The sequence below is a fragment of the Homo sapiens genome, chromosome 18 (genome assembly GCF_000001405.40).
Source record: "Homo sapiens chromosome 18, GRCh38.p14 Primary Assembly".
Classification (NCBI taxonomy): domain Eukaryota; kingdom Metazoa; phylum Chordata; class Mammalia; order Primates; family Hominidae; genus Homo; species Homo sapiens.
The window spans coordinates 33,931,832-33,958,949 of record NC_000018.10 but is presented as its reverse complement, the minus strand read 5'-3'; the positions used below and the strand labels follow the sequence as shown (position 1 = coordinate 33,958,949).

Here is a 27,118-nt window from a genome sequence, read left to right as displayed (position 1 = left end):
TGTATAGCTCTTGCTGGGTAAGTTAATTGAACATCCCTCAGTTTCCATAACTGTTTAAAGAATACTAATAAAGTTAGCATAATACTGATATGATATAATACAATATTATATAAAGTGTAATACTAGTACTAATATTGACAATGCTCTGAGGTCATATTAAGTTCTAAGAATATGTGACTCAATGATTCCCTTGCAAAATCGATTACAGATTGCTTTTTTATTTGGAATATGAGTATTGAGAGGAAACACTAATTGCTCTTGCATAGCTAAGTTCAATAAAACTTTCTGCAGTGAAGGAAACGTTCCATGCAGCTAACAAGTACTTGCAATGTAACTAGTGTGACGTGACCAAGGAAATGAAATTTTAATTTAATTTGAATTAATTTTTATTTAAACTAAAATCACCACAGCTCTAGAGTTATCAACTCATAAACAAGATTTTTGAGAAACAGTTGAAATTAAAGATGAAACATAAAACTTATAAGCTTGTGCAATGAATTTAAAAGCAGTTATTTCACCTTCTCTTTTCAGTCTCCTGCACATAGTTACTCCAGCTATGACTCTGGCAAAAATGAGAGTGTAGACCGAGGAGCTGAGGACCTCTCACTAAACAGGGGAGATGAGGACGAAGATGACCACGAGGACCATGACGATTCGGAGAAAGTTAATGAGACAGACGGCGTTGAAGCCGAGCGGCTGAAAGCTTTTAATGTGAGTCCTGCCACACTCCAAGTGTGGTTTAATTTTTACCACTTCACTTTCATGTTGTTGCTTGTTGGTAAATGTGGATATTTTAGAGACATGTTTGTTTAATTTACAGAAGGATTTAAAAAGTACATGAAACACTCTTTGCCAACCAGACACCAGAATTGCTGTGTTTTGTTTAGAATTTTAAAGCCAAATGTGAGCTGAAAACTGGAGTTGTGTTGTGTGAGTATGCATGTTTACCTAGTGGATGGAGGGGGCCTCAGCTTAGTCCTCGGAAGAGTACGCCCGTCATCTGTTATTTCTTTTGCTTTCCTAGCTTATCTAATTATGCATGACAAAAGAGTCAGTTGTTTGATTTCAGAGATTAGTCCACTGTGCAGTGTAGCAATGTAACAGTCGTATTCATCATTAATAGAGATTGTAAAGGGGTGCTCAATTGTCACAGTCTCTGTTATTTCCTGATTTTTTTCTACACGATAGTCTATTCTTTTCTGTATGTTTGTCTGTCTGTCTGCCTTTCTCTCTTTTTCTCTCTATTTTTTAATCCAACCATTTAGAAAGTCTTTAAAGAGTGTTTGCTTAAAATTTCTGGCTTTCCATTGCAAAGTTCTCCAGTGCATAAACCAGAAAACAGTATTTTCCTATCGGTAATCAAGACAGGAAGCTAGGAACAGAAGAGAGCAGCCCTCCAAACCCTTCTCCTCTGTCTCCCTCTTGCCAACAGATGTTTGTCAGGCTGTTTGTAGATGAAAACTTGGACCGAATGGTCCCAATCTCTAAGCAGCCCAAAGAAAAGATCCAGGCTATCATTGACTCATGCAGGCGACAATTCCCTGAGTATCAAGAGCGTGCCAGAAAACGTATACGTACTTACCTCAAGTCCTGCAGGCGGATGAAAAGAAGTGGTTTTGAGATGGTGAGTTTTGAATTAAAACACAGCCCTAGACTCCATCAAAATCCCACATGTAAACCATGACACTATTTTTTTTCCATCTTAGTGTCTTTTTTTATTTTTTTCCATAATGTCAGGTCAAAGGGGGTTTTGTTTGCTCGTTTGTTTTTTCCCCTTCTCCTTTTCATCTTCCTGAAGTATTTATTCTCTTTGTTTATTTAATAAGGAATATCTTGTGAGTCCAGTGCTCACAGAACCACGTGGTACCATGTCACAGAAAATAAAGGTGATATGAGTAAACACCAGTGAGAACCAGCATCTCGTTCATATTTGTTTTCTTTCTGTCGCTACTAAAGTGGGCATGAGGTTATTTAAGTTGTGAACTGAAGCACCAGTCACTGCTTGAGATGGCATGTAACAATGGCATTCTCTAAATCAAAAGGAAACAGATGGATCTACCTAGGAATACCATTTTCATATCAATGGTTAACAAATTGCAGTCCTTGAAAGTAAAGATCAGAGAATGAAAATGCTTAGGTGAAATATAAGGATTTGTTGTACTGGATATGTTTATTTGTGTGCTGGTGGATGGTACCAAGAGCTTTCATATTCAGGTGGATGTTATAGACAGATGAGATTATGTTGACATTAGATTACTGATAGGGTGGAGATTAGAAATCAATGATTTTTAAACTTTATTCTATTTCACCTTGCTCTAATTGTTACATCTAGAAATAACGCACACATTTACAATGTATGCCTTTCCCATTTTCTTATTTCCTATGTATGTGAGCAGTTTCGAAATTTTGTGAAACCATTTTTTTCTTGTCTTATTTGAGAAGGCGCCATAAAAGCCTAGGCTGTTAGTGTTTGTGATCTGTGAATCTAATTAGTTAGGTGTGATTGGGTAGGAATTGGTGTACATAAGAGAGGTTTCAGAGTATGTCTGTACCAATTATCTCAAATCATAAAATCTCCAGAGTTGGATATAAAAGGCCATGCTTTATGAAAGATAAATCTAATAAATCTAATGTTTGATCAATACTGTCTTCATTTTCATTAGATTTTAGAAACCCAATGAGTTAAGTAACCATTAAATTAATCTGTAGACAAATATATCAAATTGTTATTGAGTCTGTTGTGTGGCTTTGATGCTCAAATTCAGCAATTTCTCTGAAGAATATTTATTGTTCCAGAAGGTGTCCTGATCTTAAATTCATAGTAATAGAAAAGTCCATAAAAAGCACAGCTTTATGAACAAGGTAGGGCATCTCCAATAGGTGACATGATTTCTGTTTTTTGTTTCCTGAATTTGCATTATGAGACTCTTTCACCAAGGTGCATACATGTATTTCTGTAAAACCCAAATGACAATATTTAGGGAATATATAGGAGACTTTTAGTCCATTGCTCCTCTTGTATCCCAAGTTTTGCCACTGTACCTAGTTAAACCAAATAGCCTAGATATTTAAATTTAATAATCTCAATCTATTGAAAAATTACCTAGATAGTTGCTTTTAATGTTATGCAATTGACTCTTTTCCCTTGTAGAAATAAATCTCATGCAAGTTTTTGTATTGTCAAGGTCATTGTTTACTAGGCTGCTAAATGTCCATGACAGAAAATCTGATTTCAGAAGTTTCTTCTAGAATTTAATGCAAGAAAAATAATTGTTTTCCTGAGGAAATGGAATGCTTTTACCTGTTCTCAACACCGGGACTGTGAACCTTAATATGTTCACTTTTGTGCCTTACTGCCAGGGAGTTCAGAGCCAAACTCTCCATTGTCTTTCTGTTTAATTTATCTTGGTGGAGACAACTTTCCTTGGTGGATTTGATAAATTTTAATGGAAAAGAGGAGATATAAATTTAGAAACAAATAAATAAATAGTCTAATTATGAAAGCACCAGAAAGCAAGCCTTTCATGTTTAGGAAATTATATGTTTTTTTAGAGGATTTAACTTTTCGATCATTTGCTTCTATTTGTCAAACACAGCTCACAGTAGAGGGATCAGACCTTGTTTTCAATACATAGTTTCCCTGATATCATAAGCATGGGAATAGCTACAGTGACACTTGCTATTAACTTTTTAACAAATAGAAGTATTATAAAAATGAATTAAGCGATTCTTTAAACTGAAAATTATATCAAAAATATACCTAGCCTTTCATATAAGATCTTGATAAAAACTTTATAATACCTATGTAGCTATTAATATTCTTCACGCAACATGAGTATAACTATGTGTTTCTCTTTGTCACCAATTAACTTAATTGATGCTAATTAGCAAACACATTTTGTTTGAATTTTCCACTTGCTATTTGTACTAACTCTTGCCCTCTGTCTTATAGTTGTCATTTACCATCCCCCAGGTTACATTCACATTCTCTAAGATCTTTATTTATAATCTTTATTTTTAATTGCATCCCATAGTATCCTCCTTATTAATTTTGATATCTAAGCTGATTTCACATTTCTTTTACCTTTTCCACTTCAGGGATCTGGATCTCTCTTTCACCTCAGTCTTTATTAGCATGAATACACCTTGGTCTTAGTCATCACTCCAAGAGCCTGAACAAGCAATATTAAAAATTTCAAAGTTTTCTAAATGTTCTCAAGTATTCTCTGGTGACTTTACAGAGGAAAAGTCTTGTTCTTATTTGCCCTGGATAAATAAACCTCACATCTCTGCCCCCATATAATTCTACCTTCTTCAGAGCATTGCTCCATCAACCACCCCTACTGTTTTATATATTCAGTTTTCCCTTTTCAATGAGAGGAACATTTAATCCCTTTTTCCTAAAAAAAAAAGTTCTCAGATATCAAAAAAAGTTACATCTCTTCTTCTTCTTCTACAATCTGAGTTCATCTTTCTTTCTCAGGTTTCTCGAAAGAGCATTTTATACTCACAGATTATACCTATTACCACCAAATCCTGCAGTAGTCCCTTACATTCAGATTATCCAGACTATGGTTCTCACCACTGTGTAGTCAGCCGTATAGATCTGCAAGGTCTGCATCTATGGATTCAATCAACTAATTGAAAAATATATGGGGAAAAAATAAGGGGATTGTGCCTGTATTGAACACGTATAGACATTTTTTACTTGTCGTTATTCCCTAGACAACACAGTATAACAGCTATTTACATGTCATTTACATTGTATTAAGATTTATAAGTAAGCTAGAGATGATTTAAAGTATATGAGACAGTGTGCCTAGGTAATAGGCAAATACTATGCCATTTTGTGTAATGGACTTGAGCATCCTCAGAGGTGCTAGAGCCAATCCCACACAGATACCAAAGGATGACTCTACTGAATTAGTTCTTATAAAGATCACATGACCACCTTTGCACAAAACTCAAAGACTGCATATTCAACTAAAGTATATGCTCTTTTTCTTGAAACTTGTTGTTTCTGTTCCTCCTCATTTACTCTTACCTGCTTTTGGGCAGTTACTACAGTTCCGTGTTTAGCCACGTACTGTATATCACCCTAACCACAATTACAAATGTCTGTCCTTGTGTACAGTGTCCTATTCTCAAAGTACAATACCAAAAATATACAAATCTTTGGTATTTAATTCCAAATGTCAGTCGGACACTAGGGCAATAATTATATCACACTGAACTCTATATTCTCCAGCACCTATTTTCTCCACTGATATTCCACTTCATTTATCAAGACACCAGTAAGTTCCTCTTGACTTGCCTGCTGTTAATAGCACCATATTGTCATTTTTACCATTGCTCAAAAATGTAGAATGAGATTTGACTATTTTTGTGTCTTGTATCCTACCACTTAATGAATTCTGCTTATTCCTCCTTTATTCTGTTTCCCAAATAAATCTTACAGTTTCCAATTTTATGTGTTCTTATTTTAGTTCTAGTCTTTCATACCTCATACCTGTACTCTTGCATAATCCTAACTCAACTCCCTACTTTCCTCTTACCCTCTTCACACACATTATGCCTAGGCAGAGGCAGAAATAGGGTTTGTAAAACCTGAAGATTATATGACTTGAGATCTTTTTGAAAAGAAAAGTAATACACAATTATGAGCAAAAAATTAGGTAGAAAAAATGAATGTGTATTTGCAGTTTAAAAATATCCTACACAAAAGAAATTTAGAAACCACTGAAATCTTGAAGATTAAAACGCTTTTCTTCTAACATCTCGTTAGACAATTTTCAGACACACTTACATATAAATGCTTCCAGATTTTAAAGTGGCTTTCCCTTCCTACCTAGAATGCTTACAACATCCAGGAACTCCAGCACTTAAGAGGCTCATCCAATTGAGGCATCCTATGCCTCACTTTTATTGACTTTATGATAAATCTGCCTTTGCTCCTAGAGTAGTCTTCCTCAATTTTGGCTTTGATAATGTGAAACTCTGTCATGTTAGAACATTTTGTTTTTTTGAGACGGAGTTTCACTCTTGTTGCCCAGGCTGGAGTGCAATGGCATGACCTCAGCTCACCGCAACCTCCACCTCCCGGTTTCAAGCCATTCTCCTGCCTCAGCCTCCTGAGTAGCTGGGATAACAGGCATGCACCAAAACACCTGGCTACTTTTGTATTTTTAGTAGAGATGGGGTTTCTCCATGTTGGTCAGGCTGGTCTTGAACTCCCGATCTCAGGTGATCCACCCGCCTTGGCCTCCCAAAGTGCTGGGATTACAGGCGTGAGCCACCACACCTGGCAGAACAAATTTCATATTTCTTTCTATAATGTTTTAGCGTATGACCTTTTGAAACTGAGAGACCTAGCTTCAATGCCTTGCTTAGTTCAATTCCTGTACAAGTGTGGTGTTTCTGAGTCTCTTCTAAAGGATAGGGCTATTGGGGTACTATATGTGATCATGTATGTATATGTATAGCATATAATATGGTACCTTTCTATCCCTTCTTCTGGTATGTTCAAATTATATTCTTTCAAACCTTAGTTCATCATATGAGACTGCTGCTCCTTCTTTCAATGGGTTGTCTCTTGGTTCACTAATTTTTTATGACACAGGAATTATGGGTACCTTTGCTCATTGTTTACTAAATGCATTAAAATTGAAGAATAACTAAGTTGTAAAGAATATAGCCAATATATTTTTCAGAGCTACTTATCACTGCATCTTTTACTTTAAGCAAGGTGTTGACCTGAGCCTCATGGGGTATGTTCTCTTCACATTCACACACCCCACCCAGCTTCCCACCACAAACACATACAAATCCTGAATATAATATAACAATTTAAAAAATATTCAGCTAAGCTCAAAAGAAAGAAAAGGAAATTTCCAGGTACCTGAAATGAGTAGGAAACTCTTAGCCAAAATTGTAAGCCCTTTGGATTGGGTAACAACTTAGAAAGATAGAAAAAGTAAATGTAGAACCAGACAGATTAGGGCTGGGGTATGAATGTCCACCCAAGTTCAGGATACATGCATTTTAGTTTGTAACTAGATAGGCATATAAACTGAGAAATGTATATAAAGCTGGGCCCAAGAAAGGCTCATTCTCTATTTTCCTCTCTATGAAAGTGGAATTAAGAAATAACCTAATACGACTTTCAGGAATAAAAATGACAGACATTATAAGCATTGAAATTAAAACCTTACTAAATGGGTTAAGTAGAATATAATATTCAGGCAAGGAGAAAGTAAACTGGAACACAGAAGTATGTAAGTTACCCACAGGAAGAAAAGAGAAGTTAAATATGAAAAAGAAATGAAGATGGATAAGAGAATGATAAAGATAGATTTAACAGGCATTCCAGAGGAGAAATTACAATAAAAAGGCAAATTGAAAAAGATAATGATGAAGAATTTTTCAGAATTGATTGGACCTCAATCCTAATAACAGATAAGTAGATTAGTCCTAAACAGTATACATTTTTTTTAAAAAAACTCATACCTAGGGATATTATAGTAAAACCACAGAAGAGCAAATAAATTCTTAAATGTACCAGAAAGAAATAACACATTATCTACAACCGAAAACCAGCCTGAACAATTTCTTCAAAGTACTAAGAAAAAAAGTCTTCAAGAGAAACTACTTTTAATTCACAAATCAATGCCCAGCTCAGCTCTACTTTCAGAGTGAGGGGGAAAGAAATACTTCAGATAATTTCTGAGGCTACTACTCATACAGCCTGACTGATTCCAGAGGAATGCTTCTATAATCTAAGAAGAAGGAAACTGAATCCAAAAGGAAATAATAAAAAATTAGCAGCATTGGTGAGCATCTGAAGAAAAGCACCTGGATTTGATAGTCAGTGAGCCTTGGTTCTTGTCTGTGCTTTTCCAGTTGCTACTTGTTGATTTTCTATCTCTGAGCTTTGGTCTCACCCTGGAAAAGAAAAATGGAAATAATAGCTCTTATCCTAAAAATGAAAACCAAAAGCACTTGAAATAACAAATGTAAAAACTCCTAGGACAGTACCTGGTACACCTAGTATGGTACCTGGTGTGTGTGAGAAATGTGATAAAATGCAATTTAATCTGAAATTGAATTTCACAGTTCCCTTTCCTGGGAAACCTGCACTGTCAATCTGTTGAGCTACTTGAAGGACTAAGTCAACTAGGTCTTTGTCTATTTAATCCTCACTGCTAGCTAACAGCAGCCTCAAATCTCTCTTTCTTCTGTGTGCAAATTGTACTTTGTGGTACATCTTTTGTAGTTTTATTTTATCCTGTCTTATATTGCTGTTATCCATATATGGGCCTTAGCTCTTCAAGAAGAAATTATGTTCCTTGAGTACTATGCTTCTTAACTTGTTCATCTCTGTATCACCCACAATGTCTTATATAATACAAGTAGCTGCTCATGAAAGTTGCTCAATTCATGTTGAATTCAACTGAATTAAAATTGCTGAATGAAAGATTGAGTGACTGGATGGATATTTACTAATGTGCTTCTTTGTGGTAGAAATTAGTTGAGAGATAAGATAATTTTTATTGTGTGACATGAGTTTCATAGCATCTTGCAACTGGTATTTTAATTTTAAAAGCTACTACTAACTGAAAATATAGCCTAATATATTTTAAATGTTTAGCGAGTTTTTTTTTCACAAAAGAAAACAGTTATATAACATTTAATTTTAACTCTTTTTAAACTATTAAAGTGTTAAAAAAAAATTACACTTGATCTTAACCAAAAGGCCAAGAATTGATACATTAAAAAAATTTAAATCTATTTAACAATTAGTGGGAATAGGTAGTGATATTAATTATATGAATGGAATTGGTATACACTTTTATTTTCACAAATAAATAATTAGGAAATCTACATCATAATGTACAATAATTGTAAGTTTATATAACACTCAACTTTCAGAATATATACAGTGTATATAGTATATACAAAATATATTTTATATATTTAACATAAAGGATCATGTAGTTAAAATTAAAGCATGTTATTTCAGTTGTTAATTTAGTTGATCCTGTGTCTTGATCAGAGGCGTTGTCAGCTGTTATTAACTAAACTGTGTTTCTAAATCTTCAACTAGAAGACTTATTAATTCCCCATGTAGTCATAAAAGATCATTATTAATGACCAATAATATTCTAAAAATAAGGCCAAGACATAGATCATTAATTCATAAATGAAATATTTCTAATCAAAGCCTAGACAAAGGTTAACTGGCTTATATTCCACTTCTGTTAAAACACACTTTCAAACTCCTTTTAGTCAAGAGAATTTTCTCAAAACAACTAGAAAGTTCAAGAATTCACACATAGTAGATCCACGGGCTCCAATTTCAGGGGTTTGCTGCTCTCCTTTTTCTTAATTATGCTTCTCTTGTGTATTGATTTACATCTTAGACAACTTCTTGCTACCTGTTTGGAAATGTTGCCACCAGCAGTTCCAGGCCTCCATTCTTAAAACTCACAACCCAAGATCAATCCTCCAACTCCAGGTCTCAGTTCCCAGGAAAGAACTTTGCTTGGCCCTATTTGGATTATATGTCCACCTTCTTGGATCAGTCATTGGAAACAAAGTATTGAGTTCCCATGATTGCCCAGGACGAACTCAGGTGGCCAGGGTTAATTGAGGAAGGAACTTTCTTTATGACTTCCATCAAAACCATGTGGAATGAAATAAGGACAGTTGAACTACTATTTTAGTTTGCATTCACCAGTTTGTCTGAAATCTTGGCTTATCTATGGTTTGGAATTTAGAACTTTTCAGTTTTGGGACATGATAGAGTGCATACTAGGTTTGTTGCATAACACCCATAGTGGGGCCTAGAAAAACATCACAAATAAAAATATATCAGTATTTCTGCAGCAAAACATATGCATATTCACAGAAATTAGGAAAAAGTAAAACCTTAGGTATTCATTTATCAGTTTTTTTCTGCCAGCTGAGTTTATCCCAAGTTTCTGAAAAATCTTTTAGGTTTATACAATATTAGAGCTTCAGAATTGATTACAAAAGGTTGTGAGTCTACTAAACACACTCTTAATAATGCACTTCCGTGTATATTATAAAGTTATAACCTATGTGCTAGGCATTGTACCAACTTGTCAAGTAAACTCTATGATGGCAGAGACCATATTGGTATCTTCAAATCTCTAAACTTGGCACAGTTCCTATCATATATAAAAGTGCTTATAAAATATGCTAGTGACTTTATGCACATTTCTCATGGACTTCTAAAAACTACTCCATAATGTGGAGATTATTTTCCTTATTTATAATTTTCTGACTGAACCTCAGTTTTGTCATTTTTAAGAATAAAAATAGTGATACCTAGCAGGATGACTGAGACTCAGATTAAGTTGCAAAAATGGTCACATGGCAAGTAGCTGGTTATAGAATAATATTCAGTTCAGTATGACTTAGTTGCAGACTATCTCTATTCCACTGCTGTATAAGAATGAAACCACCTGCTTAATAGAAGGAATCTCTTAGAACATGAAACTTTATATATGTATATAACCTGGACAATTATGCCTTTAGGTATAGATATGCCACTTGGGGGAGATAGTGTGTGCGTACCATCCAAATTACAGAATTCTTAATAATGTGTTTTATAAAGTAACAAGTTTAGGAGGAATAATCTTAATTCATCACACTACCTAAACTCTTGACTACTGAATTATTATCTTCAAAGTGCTCATTCTACTTACAACCTTGGGTGGATGTCACAGTTGCTCCCAATCTGGCCTTAACTAATACTTGATTAAGCTTCACATTAACTGTGGAGTCTGAAGAGCATCACCACATTAACCCATGACCATAACCTGACATTCTTAAATTTCTTTGTACTTTTTTGTAATTGCAAAAATCCTGTGGCATCCTAAATGTACAGCTGAAGTTCAGAGGACTCTAAAGTTATTTCATGTATAGTTTTAGACCCACAAAAATGGAAGTTTGTTGGTGTGACGGTACATTTTATCAACATATATAAGAAGAGACACATTTACATCATGCCAACAGCAATTACATCTTAAGTCCCCAATTAAAATGTGACTTTTTAAACTCCAAAAGCTCCATGTGATGGTTTAGCCATCTGTTTAATGACACAACTGCCACTGATTTGAGCAGTGATAATTATTACAATAAGAACAGTGCTGGAGAAAGATCAACTCAGATCCCAGTTAGAATGTCAGTTAATTATGAAGAGATAATTAATGAGGGTAGGTACCATTATCTTATATACAGAGAAATAAATATGTAATAAATATTCCCAATCCAGGTGTAGATCATTTGAAGTGTATAATTAAATCCATTGTAAACTAATATTTTAAATATTCTAAGATATAGATAGAGAAAGAGAGAGATAGATATCAAATAGTATATGTATTTACTGAGTTATCTTCAGCCACAGGAGGTGTTATTTTCATAAGTTATCTATTGAATTTATTGCATTTGGTTTTTGCATCAAAATATTCCTATCTCCAATTATTACATGGAAGCTTTGTGTTTTATGGCCACTCTTACAAATGTAAGAGGGAATTTTCAGCCTCATTCCTGGTGAAATCTATGACCATATTCCCTAACACACTCTGCTAATTATGTTTTAGAAAGACCATACTGTGGTGACATTAGAATAAGCCCTCAACTGTCAAATGTAATGATGAAAAGGAGAGTTCAGAAGGAGATGATTCTCAGAGCACGTACTAAACACTAGTTTTAAATTTCTCTGTAATATTACTTTTATAATGAGAAAAATTTATTAATTTCCTTCTCACTCTCTCGATATTAGTACTTTTGAGTTGTTAAGTGATAGAAGCCAAATTATAGAGAAATTTTTTTAAACTTTTGTCTTTGCTATCTTATAACCAAATGCTGCACACTTGAGCCCTGTGTGTATTGGAGAGTATTGGCATTTATTATTGGCTCATTAATATTAGAAGCAAAGAGATTTTTAGCATGATTGCCTCACAGGAGGGAAAGAACTTTTCTGCCTGGCTCCTGTATTCTCATTTTGGGCATGAAATTAAGCTTTATTATGGTTCGTGTATAGTAATTTATTGACACTTCTGGCTGTATAAACTTTAAAATCTTATGAATTCAGATTACATCAGTTAAGAATTTGTGGCATAACTTAGCTAAGTTACATTTTTGTCTTTGTGCTTTTAATGAAGATCATAAATTTCATAATTTATAGAATTTATAGGAAAATATATTAAAGGACTTCAACCATTTAACTGAAGGATGCTAGGGAGATCTTGATATATTCTTTGCTAAATGCAATGTGTGGTTAGCTGTGATTGAATTTCCTCACAGGAATGTGTAGTATTTAAGAATTCTAGATTTATTTAAACTCAGTGGGGACTTTGTTGTAAAATGTGAATAATAGTTCACTAGGGATTATAACTCCCAATTCATCATCAGACTTGAATTTGAATTCAGGTATTTCCACATACATCGCTGCATAATTGTGAGCAAGTTGCATAATCTCTCAGAACTTGAATGTAGGTTATCTAAAATATGAGTAATATAAGTACTTTTCTCAAAGATTGTTAAGGAGATTAAATTTGATAATAAATCTAAGCTTTTGGTATTAATACCTGAATGTCCTAAGCACTCAATAAGAGTTAGATATTATTAACATTTATCTAAAAATTAAATTAGGATGGTACTGGATTTCTATTTGGAGGTACACATTATTGAGATATAGTACATTCTCTGCAAAAATACATTTAAAATATAATTTTTTGATTGTAACACAGATTTTATGATTTATTCTGCCTTTTTCTCCAATGAGCTTGAGTTAATGATGATTATAACACATTCATGTACATGTCTACCTTTGTTCTGCTTATTTTTTTAGTTGAAAACAATGGTTTGTATATACAGATTTTTTAAAGAATTTTTTGTTTTATTAATGACAAAGTATGTAAAAGTACTAAATATACAACAGAATTTAGGAAAGTGAGAGTTGAAAATTGGGAGACACGAAACCTGAGTTCTGGATCTAGTTCAATTTGTCCTTTTGCAATTACTTAATCTACCTAGGTTTCAGTTCTTCAAAGTTGAGAGAAGAAACTTGTACTGGATGACTTCTATGGCCATTGAGAGTTGTCAACTTATGATCCTACAATAAACTCAGTACAAATCTATTTTCAAAATTATACTGTTTATCTACGGGAAGTATTGAATCATGCATCTTTGATTCTACTTATTTTTTCCACTCAATAGGATAGTGTGCATGGTTGCTTTATCTTGAAGTTAATTTTTAAATATTAGGTTATCACATGACCTTAAAATATATCTAGTTCTAATTAGCCAGGACATTACTCTAGTTTATGAGAAGACTAATTTCACACATCTAGGAAAGATCCAACTCTCCCTTTCATCTTTTCTGAAAAGGAAATTACATAAATTATTATGCATAACAACTTTTACTGCTTTAGTAGAAGTTGAGTAGTAAAAGTTGTTTTTAAAAATTAATAAGAATTTGAAAGAAAATGCCATGAAATAATATTAATTGAAGGGGTATTTTACTTACGTTCTCCATGTTAAACGAACTTTTATGTATTTAAGTTACTTGTGTGCCTATTGATACAATGTAATCATTTAGTAAAATTCTATAGCTTTATATATTCCTAATTTTTAATGGTGATAGCTGAAAAAAAGAGAGAAAAATCGAGGTAACGAAGAACTGAATATGTCTCTCTGAATCCCATGTGGCTCTCAATAATTGGATTAAGAAAAGGATGGTTGCTGATATTTTATTTAGATTCTCTTAATTTCATCCCTGGAAACAAAAGATCTAATAATGTACTTTATAAAGATATAAACTCTCACTCCTATTTGAATAATGCTAACTACAATCAAATAATTTGTTTTATTTTTTGATAATGTAATGTTCTTATTCCCATTTTTCCTATAACATCTTTGCCTCAAAAATTAGCTCAATCAAGAAAGATATCAATGAGTATCTAATTCCCATGTAGTTGGACTACATTTTTGAGCCAGGCAGTGATCATCGGTTAATGAGACTGATTTTATAGCTTAATTTATTTGGCTTTGGACTACAATATTTTCTTTATACTTAGTGAAGTAGAGAATGAAATGAAGAAGCAATATGAGTTTTGAAATTATGCTTACATCTTTATGGCAATTTATTTTAGATTTGCCTCATTTGACCCTCTTTTCTATTACAAATACCCAGTCCTGGCTTTCTAATTTCCTTCTCAAAATGCTTATATTGCATTTTTTTCCTGCCACCCATGGACCTCTTTTCTTCTTTTTTGCAAAAATGACATTCCAAATATCCAACTGCTTTATTGTCAAAGTAGTGTAACCATCATTTGAGATGTCCCATGGGGTTAGCAGAAGAGTATGTACCCTATACCTTTCCTACCTTTTGCCTCCAGAGGCTACTTTGGAGGGGGAGTAGTGAGGAAGTCTGCTAAGGCAGCTGCAGAAATTGCTTCCTAGTTCACCCAAGGTCAGAGCCTGGTCTCTGTCTACACTGTACAAATTTAACTATGGAGTGTCTGTTAAAACGGTGTGGTCTGAATTTAGCTGTTCTAGAATATTATTTGAGATGTAAGCCCTGTGTTCAATTTGCTGAGACACACTCTACATGCCAGAGTTGGTAAAATGAGTCATGTATAAAAAAGGTTTGTTTCAATTCCTTTAGAAAAAAATTCAAAAGGTCTCAATTAGTTCAGGCTTCTAATAAATAGCATTCACACATATTTTCGTTTGAGGCTTTGAAAACCCTAAGGTGGCATATACTGTATATGCTATATTCCCAAAAGATACATTTATTTCATAATTTCACATTATTTTACTACCTCATTTGGTTTAATTTTGTTATTTCTCATCTATCATTTGCTTATCTTAATTTAAAAAAAACTTCTATATTATTAAGTATTTCATCTTTCAGTTGGATGACTTTGCATGTAATTATGGAAAAAAGAATGAAAATCATAATTTTTGTTATGGTTATCATGAATGATATTGAGAGCTGCAAACAATTTACAGTTAATCATGAGCTTAGTTGGAGAATTAATTCTTTCTATGTGGGCTACATAGAAGATGGATTTCAACACGTCCCTATAAAATATCAGCTCATATTTTATAAGTAAAACAAAACAGGCATGTACACATAGGCAAACATATCTCACATCTAAAGCACTAAACCTTTAATATATAAAAATCATTGTAGGACTGACTTTTTAGTTTTTAATTATTTATATTTAAAACCATTGTAATCACATCAATTGGGTCATAATTTAGAGTGTAAATATTCATAATATTTCATATTAAGACTGTTTGACATGGTCTGAGTGTCTATTAGGTTTTTTAAACTCTATTTTAGCCCTGTCACTTGTTTTTGTTTTGGTTTTTTTTGTGCATGTCATATGTTGTAGTAGAATTAAAGACCTTGTTTTATTTGCAAAATCCAGTCAGCAGTTTTGCCACTGCCTGTTCAAACTCCAGCTTCATGACCCAGGCTAGATACTTGTGACAATGGATCTATGGGAATGAATGATGGATCTGTGTAGCAACGATAGCTTTAACCTCTAACTAGCTTTCATTTTTCATCTTTACAATTTCCATTTCCTCTTTCTATTGAAACAAGTTCAGTTGAAATAAATGGATATTCCTGCACATGTTGATGATCCTGAGAGCTCTTCTGAGAATAGCATTGGCCTGTTAATGATACTGTTAATAATTTTTTTCATACTTTTCTCTTTTTTTTTTTAGTCTCGACCTATTCCTTCCCACCTTACTTCAGCAGTTGCAGAGAGTATCTTGGCTTCAGCTTGTGAGAGTGAGAGTAGAAATGCCGCCAAGAGGATGCGTCTGGAGAGACAGCAGGTACTGAGGCATCTTGAAGTCTGGTGAACACCAGCTATAGCAAATGTAGTTCATTTAATTTGATTTATGTTGAAGAGTAAAAGCTCTTGAATGGATTTAAAGTACACAGAGATATAGTTTTTGTGTCCTTATGATATGAATTTAAACTTGAAAATGTGTGTTCATGTGATCAATGAAGGTCAAAGAACAAAATGTTTCTGTGGCGAAAATGAACAGTAGCAAAACTAACGAGTTATGATTCTGTTTAGTATCCAATTTAAAGGTCAATTACTTATTAAGAGGTTCTAGCTGATCATTTCCAACAGCTTTGTAAATTTACCTCATGACTTATGAGAGTGACCTGATCATGTTCATTTCGAATGAAATGAACCAACCTCTCCTTAATTTCCTCTGGCCTACTACCGCATGCCAATACATGATGCTGAGGGTGGTGACAGTACAACACAACTTTGAAAGACTAGAAAGTCACAAAATGAGGATATACATAATGAAAATTCATGTCTTAGACTTAATCTCTCATTAATTAATCATTTATTGTATGCCAATTGCATGTCATGTTTCAATATCTTTTTTCTAAGGCATCTGTGTATTGGCGATGTTTCTTTTTTTTGTACTTTGCTCACTGGTGTTTCCCTCAGTCTTTCCCTTGGGTTATCTGTATATTTCTGTTTCTCCTTCTCATCCCAGAAATGTCTTTCTCTTTGTTGTATGTACCCCCTTTCTCAAGTATCCATAGTAAAAATCTAAATTATCACATGATATACTAAATATTCTGCATAAAACTTTGCCACATTTTCACTTGTAAAGTATTTTTACAACAAATGGATTATATGCTTTATATTGCTAATTGAGGATGAGATGAGTCAAGACTAAAGTAAGTTAGTTCAATTTTGATTCTACAGTGAGCCAATGGACTTCGAGGAAAAAAGCAAAAACGTTTTTTCATTTCAGGCTTAGAATACTTTAACATGTTTCAGAATTACATCAGCATTGATTTGATGTGTTTATTATTAAAATGTCATGTGCTAATAATTCTAAATGCCACAAAAGATGAAGCCTTCAGTTAAATGAAAAATACAGTATTAGTCTCAGATAAAAACCATGTGAAAATGTCAATTTAGAATGTGCTAATCGTGCCACCAGTGTTGATTCACATATATGTGCCCTCTGTTAGGAGTTTTATCATTGTTATATCTATAAAATGTATCTATACAATGAGTTATAACACTATGTATAATACCATCTGGCATAGTGATTAGGGGAGCACATTCTGGAACTAAATAGACCTGGTTTTGAATCTCATCTCTACCTTTTCTAATTGTGCAAACTTCACCAAGCTATTCCAGTTCTGTGTGCTTTGATTACTCCATATGAAAGACAGCAATAGTAACAGTACTCATCCTGTGGAGTCGTTATGAGAACTTTAAATGACAGATTCATGTTATGTACTTAGCATTTTGCCTGGTGCATAGTAAGCATCAATAAATTCAGTCTAGAAAAGACTGATGCTAGCTGTTTTGTCATTGTATTGATATCAGTTAACTAGAAGCAGGCATTAATAACACTACCTCAGATACTGAAGTTTCAAAGGCAAAGTCCATTTGAGAACAGATGCTAGTTCTAGAAATTGAGATTGTAGAATTCTGGGATTAAAAGGGCTCTCCTGGTTGTTGTCTAGCTATACATCCCACCTAATGTACATTCTAGAATATCCCTATATAGTTTTAATCATGTGGAGTTGTTATAAAAATTAAATGACTTATTCATATTATATACTACCTATAATATCACTCTACAATATTCCCCAAAGCTGGTCATCAGCTGATATTTGATCCAGTCACTTAAATACTGTTGGCCTAATCTGTAAAATGGGACATACAGATATCAGATTCATAGAGCTGTTGTGAGGATTTTATAAGTCAATTCATATAAAAGCATTATGTATTTCATACGTTTATATGTTGTTAAAGATATATTTGTTATTTGCTTTAATATCTCAAATCTCACACTGGTACTAAAGATCTGCTATTTACTGACACACTTTCCTACTGTCAGAGATTTATCATTGTTTTTGAAGGTCTTTACATTGAGCTCAAATTTACTTCATAGACTTTCTACCCACTGAAGAAAAACTTCTAAAAATAATTAAAAATGGGACTTCTTACTCCTGCACCAGGAGTAGGGACTAGAATGAATGAGGACCAGTGGTCCTTGGCCCTACTCTCCATATTCTCTCCTTTTTATATGTCCTCATATATTTATTGCAAGGCTCTGTTTCTAGGAATGGAGGATATCCAATAATATCTCCACACAAAAAAATACTGTTTTCTTTTTTTCCCCCGTTTTTGTTTTGTTTTGTTTTGTTTTGTTTTTTGTACTTTAAGTTCTGGGATACATGTGCAGAACGTGCAGGTTACATAGGTATACATGTGCCATGGTGGTTTGCTTCACCCATCAACCCATCATCTACATTAGGTATTTCTCCTGATGCTATCCCTCCCCTAGCCTCCTACTCCCCGACAGGCCCCGGTGTGTGATGTTCCCTCCCTGTGTCCATGTGTTATCATTGTTCAACTCCCACTTATGAGTGAGAACATGCGTGTTTGGTTTGCTGTTCTTGTGTTAGTTGGCTGAGAATGATGGTTTCCAGTTTCATCCATGTCCCTGCAAAGGACATGAACTCATCCTTTTATATGGCTGCATAGTATTCCATGGTGTATATGTGCCACATTTTCTTTATCCAGTCTATAATTGATGGGCATTTGTTGGCTCCAAGTCTTTGCTATTGTGAATAGTGCTGCAATAAATATACATGTGCATGTGTCTTTATAGCAGAATGATTTATAATCCTTTGGGTATATACCCAATAATGGGATTGCTGGGTCAAATGGTATTTCTGGTTCTAGATCCTTGAAGAATCGCCACATTGTCTTCCACAATGGTTGAACTAATTTACACTTCCACCAACAGTGTGAAAGCGTTCCTATTCCTCCACATCCTCTCCAGCATCCGTTGTTTCCTGACTGCTTAATGATCACCATTCTAACTGGCGTGAGATGATATCTCATTGTGGTTTTGATTTGCATTTATCTAATGATCAGTGATGATGAGCTTTTTTTCATATGTTTGTTGGCTGCATGAATGTCTTCTTCTGAGAAGTGTCTGTTCATATCCTTCTGAATGGGCAAAAACTGGAAGCATTCCTTTTGAAAACCAGCACAAGACAAGGATGCCCTCTCTTACCACTCCTATTCAACACAGTATTGGAAGTTCTGGCAAGGGCAATCAGGCAAGAGAAAGAAAGAAAGGGTATTTAAATAGGAAGAGAGGAAGTCAAATTGTCTCTTTGCAGATGACATTATTGTATATTTAGAAAATCCCATTGTCTCAGCCCAAAATCTCCTTAAGCTGATAAGCAACTTCAGCAAAGTCTCAGGATATAAAATCAATGTGCAAAAAATCACAAGCATTCCTATACACCAATAACAGACAAACATATCCAAATCATGAGTGAACTCCCATTCACAATTGCTATAAAGACAATAAAATACCTAGGAATACAACTTACAAGGGATGTGAAGGACCTCTTCAAGGAGAACTATAAACCACTGCTCAAGGAAATAGGAGAGGACACAAAAAAATGGAAAAACATTCCTTGCTCATGGATCGAAAGAATCAATATGAAAATGGCCATACTGCCCAAAGTAATTTATAGATTCATTGTTATCCCCATCAAGCTACCATTGACTTTCTTCACAGAATTAGAGAAAGCTATGTTAAATTTCATATGGAACCAAAAAAGAGCCCATATAGCTAAGACAATCCTAAGCAAAAAGGACAAAGCTAGAGGCATCACACTACCTGACTTCAAACTATACTACAAGGCTACAGTAACCAAAAGAGCATGGTACTGATACCAAAACAGATGTATAGACCATTGGAACAGAGCAGAGGCCTCAGAAATAACACCACACATCTACAACCATCTCATCTTTGATAAACCTGACAAAAACAAGCAATGAGGAAAGGATTCCCTATTTAATAAACGGTGTTGGGAAAACTGGATAGCCATACTCAGAAAGCTGAAACTGGACCTTTTCCTTACACCTTATACAAAAATTAGCTCAAGATGGACTAGAGACTTAAACGTAAGACCTAAAACCATAAAAACCCTAGAAGAAAATCTAGGAAATACCATTTGGGACATAGGCATGGACAAAGACTTCATGACTAAAACACCAAAAGCAATGGCAACAAGAGCCAAAATTGACAAATGGCATCTAATTAAACTAAAGAGCTTCTGCACAGCCAAAGAAACTATCATCAGAGTGAACAAGCAACCTACAGAATGAGAGAACATTTTTGCAATCTATCCATCTGACAAAGGGCTAATATCCAGAATCTACAAGGAACTTAAACAAATTTACGAGAAAAAACAACCTCATCAAAAAGTGGGCAAAGGATATGAACAGACGCTTCTCAAAAGAAGACATTTATGCGGCCAAGAAACATATGAAAAGAGCTCATTGTCACTGCTCATTAGAGAAATGCAAATCAAAACCACAATGAGATACCATCTCACACCTGTTAGAATGGCGATCATTAAAAAGTCAGGAAACAACAGATGCTGGAGAGGATGTGGAGAAATAGCAATGCTTTTACACGGTTGGTGGGAAAAATATTATTTTCAAACCCAGAAGGGTTCAAAAAGCTTTGGAATTGTGGGGAATAATGAAGAAATAATTTTTTTAAATTAAACTCTTTTAAGATTTACTAAAAACTTGTTGGGCAATTTCTAGATACAGTTTCATTTACCATTCTCAACAACCCCATGAGAAAGGATATTATTATTCTCATTTACATGTAAGAAAACTGCGGCCCAGAGAGGTGGAATGATTTGTGCAAGGCCACCAGCTGCACGAGAAAGCCAGAATATGAGTTTATATTAGATAAAACTAATGCCTGACATCTTTTCACAATCCTATAATGTATTTTCATGTATTATGTTCATGGAGGGAAACCCATAGCCTAGAACAAACATTTAGGACTTGTATCATTTGTGCCTCTGCTTACAAGGTTTTGGCAGTGCAGTTTTCTTGTGGAAAATGATTTACTTTATTTACAAAAATTTTGTACTTTACTATAACTAGCAATCTAGAGTTTGCCTGGATATCAGCCTAAAAAAGGCTACAAACTTCCCAAAGTGCTTCACTTCATCTGGAGAGCTGTTTATGCACTGTAAACACTAGTTTACTGTTTATAATTAGTATCTTAAAAGTGTATAAACTACTTTTTTCTTGCTGTAAATTCTATAGATTTCCTTAGCTGTGTCACACAGAAACTTCTACCAAGTGATTCTACTTCCTACCAAAGCATGTAATTGGCAGGGATCCCTCTATTAGTTGAATCAAACCCCTCTTTGCCCAACTAGAGAGAGCCAGAGTTCTTTTGCATGTTAGCAAGAAGATCACTCTTCCTGTGTGCATTCTTAACCTGACTCAAAATTTTTAGAATTTTCCAGTGACTAAGAGATTCTTCATTATGCCCCCAATTTTCTGTAGGCACACAAAAGTTCAAAACATGAACACTCAAAATTGGCTTTCTGTTAAGCCACTCATCTGACTGCTTGCTGCCAGTGGTTAGCCACATGTAGAGATGTAATTATGTATGTCTTTCAGAGTTTATGAAGCTTGATGAATTAATTGGATTTTATAAAGCTCTTTGAGCTATGAACATGAGAGGTGGTATGGATGTGTTAAATACTTTATTCCATATGTCCATTTTGTACCAAAATCCAGAGGAAGCTTGTTATTATGCAGCCTCAGCCCTGAAGCAAGCCAGTGGCAAGGACAGGAGCCTACTGCTCCTTCATCAGGAATCAGATTTCACAGAAGTCCATTCGCAATGCAGTTTGGAATATATATAGCATTTTTCTAGATTTAACATAAAATTTGTATTTTTTACGTTATCTAGGAAATTCTTCTTCACTTTGACAATTCAAAAGGGGCAGCCAGATTTCGCATTTAGAGTTCTATGACATAGCTCAAAATTTGTGGGTTCTTTTCTCTATATATTTATTATTTAGTAATTATTTCTTTTTCCTTAAACCAAAAAGATCTTATAGTTATTGGTTACATTTCATTTGAAGACAAAGAGGCAAAAAGTAAGAGGGATTAGAACCAGTTACTTGTTGGTGATTTATCTCCTATCAGTGTATTATTTTTGCTGGTTTTGAGGGATGACATACATTTTATTAACAGGCTTGATGACTGATTAAGGTAGAAAGTTTCTGGAGAATGTGAGGGTTTCCTTGTTATGTTTTCTGCTCTTAGTGCTTTCAGTTAAATTAGTTCGTAGTTCTGTAGACAAGATCATATAAAACCACCAGTTAAGGGCTTCCCCAGCAGGAGCCCAGCAGTTACTGCCCTAGAAGGACAAAGCGGGAATGCTGGGTGACAGATTTTGCAGTAGCTAAGACACACGGGAAACCAATGGTTGACTGTGATGTGACACCATTGACTCTATTGAAAAGAACACAGTGGAGGGAAGGGGAAATGGCACGTTACTTACCTGTGGTGTAATAAAAAGTCAGGAAGAAGAAAAATAAAGTACTGAAAACTTATACATCACTAAGTTACCAAAAAAAAAAAAAAAAAACTCACTGCTAATTAACCAGCATGAACCCAATGGCCCAGGACCTAAAAATATTTAGTAACTGTATAATTCCTTGCAACTGTTTTTTCCCTTAGTAGTGGTGAATTCACTGTCATCTGTGTCTCTTCATGATTTTTCTTTGTTTTATTAGGATACTAATAAGTTGGAATATTATTAAAGAAATGTAATTGCAGGTGCAAAGGTTGAAAATGTAGCCACGTAAGCGTGGGGGCAATTTTAATATGACTTTTTTTTAAAACTATCTAACATACCATGATTAAGACATGGTTTATGAGAGGCAGCTTTTCTTTCACATTTAATTCTGCAGTTTTGTGTCCTTTTTATAACATTTATAAACTTTAACAAATACCTAACTGAAAGCAACACCATTCAATAGGGTTTTATTCTTAAATTTAGACATTGTGATATTAACAAGATATGGCTTGAAACTTATTTCTATGGCCTGCCAGTCCACACTTATTCTCAGTCATCCTCAGCTTTTTACTTTACTCCTGGCATTTTTCTCTCTTACATACATATGTTAGGGGGAAAACCCTGTATCTTTGAGTTTCTCAATGTGCTTCAACATGACACTTTCATTCACAGAAGAAAATATACTATATAGGAAAAATGAAGCACAAGCATTCCTCATTTTATTGAACTTCACTTTGTTGTGCTTCACAGATATTGCAGTTTTTACAAATTGAAGGTTTGTGACAATCTTGTGAGCAAGTCTGTCAGCACCATTTTTCCAACAGCATGTGGTCACTGTGTGTCTCTATGTCACATATTGGTAACTCTCCACAATATTTCAAATTTTTCATCATGATTATATCTGCTATAGTGATCTGTGATCAGTAATCTTTGGTGTTGCTATAGTACTTATTTTGGGACACCGTGAACCATGCCAAATTAAGACAAAGAACTTAATAAATGTGTGTATTTTGACCACCCCACCCACCAGCCATCACCCTGTCTCTCTCTTTCTTCAGCCTTTCTGATTCCCTGAAACACAGTAATATTGAAATTAGGCCAATTGATAATGCTATGATGGCTTCTAAGTATTCAAGTGAAAGGAAGAGTCTCATGTATCTGACTTTAAATCAAAAGCTAGAATGATTAAACTTAGTGAGGAACACATGTTGAAAAGCCGAGATGGGCCTAAAGCTCTGCCTCTTGCACCAAACAGCCAAGTTGTAAGTGTGAAGGAGATTTAATATTCTTGGAGAATATTAGAATGCTACTCAGCTGGCTGTGATGGCTCACACATGTAATCCCAGCAGTTTGGGAAGCCAAGGTGGAAGGACTGCTTGAGCCCAGAAGTTCCAGACCAGCCTGGCGAACATAGTGAGACCCCCATCTCTACAAAAATGTTTTTTAAAAGATTAGCAAGGCATGGCGCAGTGCATCTGTAGTTCTAGCTACTTGGGAGGCTGAGGTGAGAGGATTGCTTTAGCCCAGGAGGTTGAGGCTGCAGTGAGCCATGATTGTGCCACCGCCTCCAGGCAACAGAGTGAGACCCTGTATCAAAAAAAAAAAAAAAAAAAACGTGCTACTCCAGTGAACACAAGAATGATAAAAAAGCAAAACGGCCTTATTACTGTTATGGAGAAAGTTTTCATGGTCTTATAGAAGATCAAACCAGCCACATTCCCTTACACCAAATCCTAATCCAGAGCAAGATCCTAACTCTCTTCAATTCTATGAAGAGTAAGAGAGGTGAGGAAGCTGCAGGAGAAAAGTCAGAAGCTATTACAGCAGAGATTAGTTCATGAGATTTAAGGAAAGTGGCCATTGCCAGAACATAAACATGGAAAGGGAGGCAGCAAGTGCTGAGGTAGAAAATGCAGCAAGTTGTCCAGAAGATCCAGCTAAGATAATTGAAGAAAGTGGGTACACTAAAACAATAAAGATTTATAATGTAGATGAAATCACTACATCATCGTAGTGAATCATTGGGAAAAGGTGCCACCTAGTATTTTATAGCTAGAGAGAAGAAATTAATGCCTGGCTTCACAGTTCAAAGGACAGGCTGCTCTACTGTTAGGGGCTAATGCAGCTGATGACTTTAAGTTAAAGTCAGTTTTCATTTACCATTCTGAAGATCCTAGGGCCCTTAAGAATTTCATGAAAATCTACTCTGCCTGTGTTCCATAAATGAAACAACAAGGCCTGGATGATTGCACATCTGTTTAGAGCATGGTTAACTGAATATTTTAAGCCCACTGTTGAGGCCTACTGCTCAGGAAATAAAAAAAAAAGATTCCTTTCAAAATATTGCTGCTCATTGACAATGCACTTAGTCACCCAAGAGCTCTGATGGAGATGTGCAAGGAGATTAATGTTGTTTTTATGCCTGCTAACCAACACCCATTCTGCAACCTATGGATGAAGGAGTAATCATACTTTCAGGTCTTATATTTCAGAAATACATTTCCCAAGGCTATGGCTGCCATCGCTAGTGATTCCTCTGATGGATTAGGAAAAGGAAATTGAAAACCTTTTGAAAAGGATTCACCATTCTAGATGCCATTAAGAATATTCACGATTCATGGGAGGAGGTCAAAATAGCAAACCTAACAGGAGTTTGGAAGAAGTTGATTCCGACCCTCGTGGGTGACTTTGAGGGGTTCAAGACTTTACTAGTGGAGGTAACTTTAGATGTGGTGGATAGCAAGAGAAGTAGAATTAAATAAAGCCTGAAGATGTGACTGAATTGCTGCAATCTCACGATAAATCTTCAGTGGATGAAAAGTTGCTTTTTATAGCTGAGCGTAAAAGTGGTTTCTTGAGATAGAATCCACTGCTGGTCAAAATGCTGTGAATTCTGTTGAATAAAAACAAAGCTTTAAAAACATTATATAAACTAAGGTGATTAAACAGTGTCAGGAATTGACTCCCATTTTGAAAGAAGCTCTACTATGGGCAAAATACTATCAAACAGTTTTGTATACTTTAGAGAAATATTTCATGATAAAGAGCATCTGTCAGTGTGGCAAGCCTCATTCTTGTCTTTATTTAAGAAATTGTCACAACCACACTAGCCTTCAACAACCATCACCTTAATCATTCAACAGCCATCAATATCGAGTCAAGACTCTCCATCAGCAAAAAGATTTTGACTCAAGAAGACTCAGATGATTGTTAACATTTTTAAGCAATAACGGTTTTATGTTGTTGTTTAAGGTAAGCGCATTGGTTTTGTTTTAGACAAATGATATTGCACACTTAATAGACTACAATATAGGGTAAACATAAATTTTATATGCAGTAGAAAAACAAAAAGTTCATGTTACTTGCTTAAATGCAATATTTGTTTTATTGCAGTGGTCTAGAACGGAACTTTCAGTATCTCTGAGGTATGTCTGGACCATCGGGGTAGTTCTTGGACTATGTTCTATCTCCTATGTAACATGTATACTTTATCTGGGATAGAACGTATTTTGCAAGTCATTTCATTCTAATGGGTCTTGACATCCTCTTTAATAATAATGTCAATAACAGCACAGCAGAAACATATATGAATGTGGGACTATGTGAAGTGTTTTGCAAGCCTTTCTTTTATAATTGCCATACTTTTTATAAGAGTATAGAAATTGGGGCTCAGAAAAGTTGAAAAAATTTCTCCAGGTCACAGAATTGCTCAGGATGGGGCCCCATTTTGATCCAATCCTCATGACTTTAGAATCATACTTTAAAAATATTTTCATTTTTAATACTCTTCTCAATCACATAGGATTTTTTATAATTAGGAAATAATGAAATACATAAATAAGAAATTTTACTAGTAATTCCACCACCTCATTTTTTAAATATTAAGTGCTAATTTTACTTTTTTTCTATCATAATTTGCATATGAAAATGATGCCTTGCTATTTTTTAGGATAAATTATGAGAAGTAGAATTACTGGGTCACACAGCAGCAAGGTTTTTAAAGGTTTTAATAAACAGGTAGTGTGTTCTTATTTTCTATTTTATTCCTATAAAAGATGAATTTTAGTTTATTTTATAGGTATATGCCTATTAAAAGCTTGTCTTAACTTTAAGAAATCTTTGACGCAAAGCCAGTAATTCCTAATCCTAAAAAACATGGCATTATTTTTTACAAGAATTACCTTGAAATGCCCTACCTTAAGACCTGAAGTGCAATTTATAATTAATGTTATATATGGCTGCAATTAAAAAATATATATAAAATGTCCTGATATTAATGTAAATAATACATTAAAGAAAGTAATATGTAATAAAATAATATGTATTTCAATGTGGAAATGTGGGGATACTATGGCACTAAAAGAGATAATGAAATCATCAGGTACTATTTGCACCTATACCACAAATCAACATGAATGCAAGAGCTAAAGTGTCCTCTGACATGTATATGTTGTGACAACTCACAGTGATCAGTGACATGAACTTTCCAGATGGTAAGAAACTGCTGGTAAACTTCTAAACAAAGCATAGTACAATATTTTCTTGATTTGCATGATAGTGGTATTCCTTAAATAATTCATTATATATTTAAAAGCAGTTTTAAATATATATATTTAAAAACATAAAAACTTTGCATTTATACCAA

General features: G+C 34.5%; 1 protein-coding gene across 31 annotated transcripts in view; it reads left to right on the top strand.

Moving 5' to 3' along the window:
• NOL4 (nucleolar protein 4) overlaps window positions 1-27,118 on the top strand; it is a 373,814-nt gene that overhangs the window by 265,964 nt on the left and 80,732 nt on the right. For 18 of the 31 annotated variants that reach the window (XM_047437902.1, XM_047437901.1, XM_011526238.3 and 15 more), the window contains 3 exons: window positions 532-711; window positions 1,433-1,624; window positions 15,772-15,885. In XM_047437902.1, the coding sequence (XP_047293858.1) occupies window positions 532-711; window positions 1,433-1,624; window positions 15,772-15,885 (486 nt within the window). Of the gene's footprint in view, window positions 1-531; window positions 712-820; window positions 931-1,432; window positions 1,625-15,771; window positions 15,886-27,118 lie in introns of those variants that run through there. The other 13 variants (NM_001384470.1, NM_001384473.1, NM_001384468.1 and 10 more) reach the window with 3 other exon arrangements.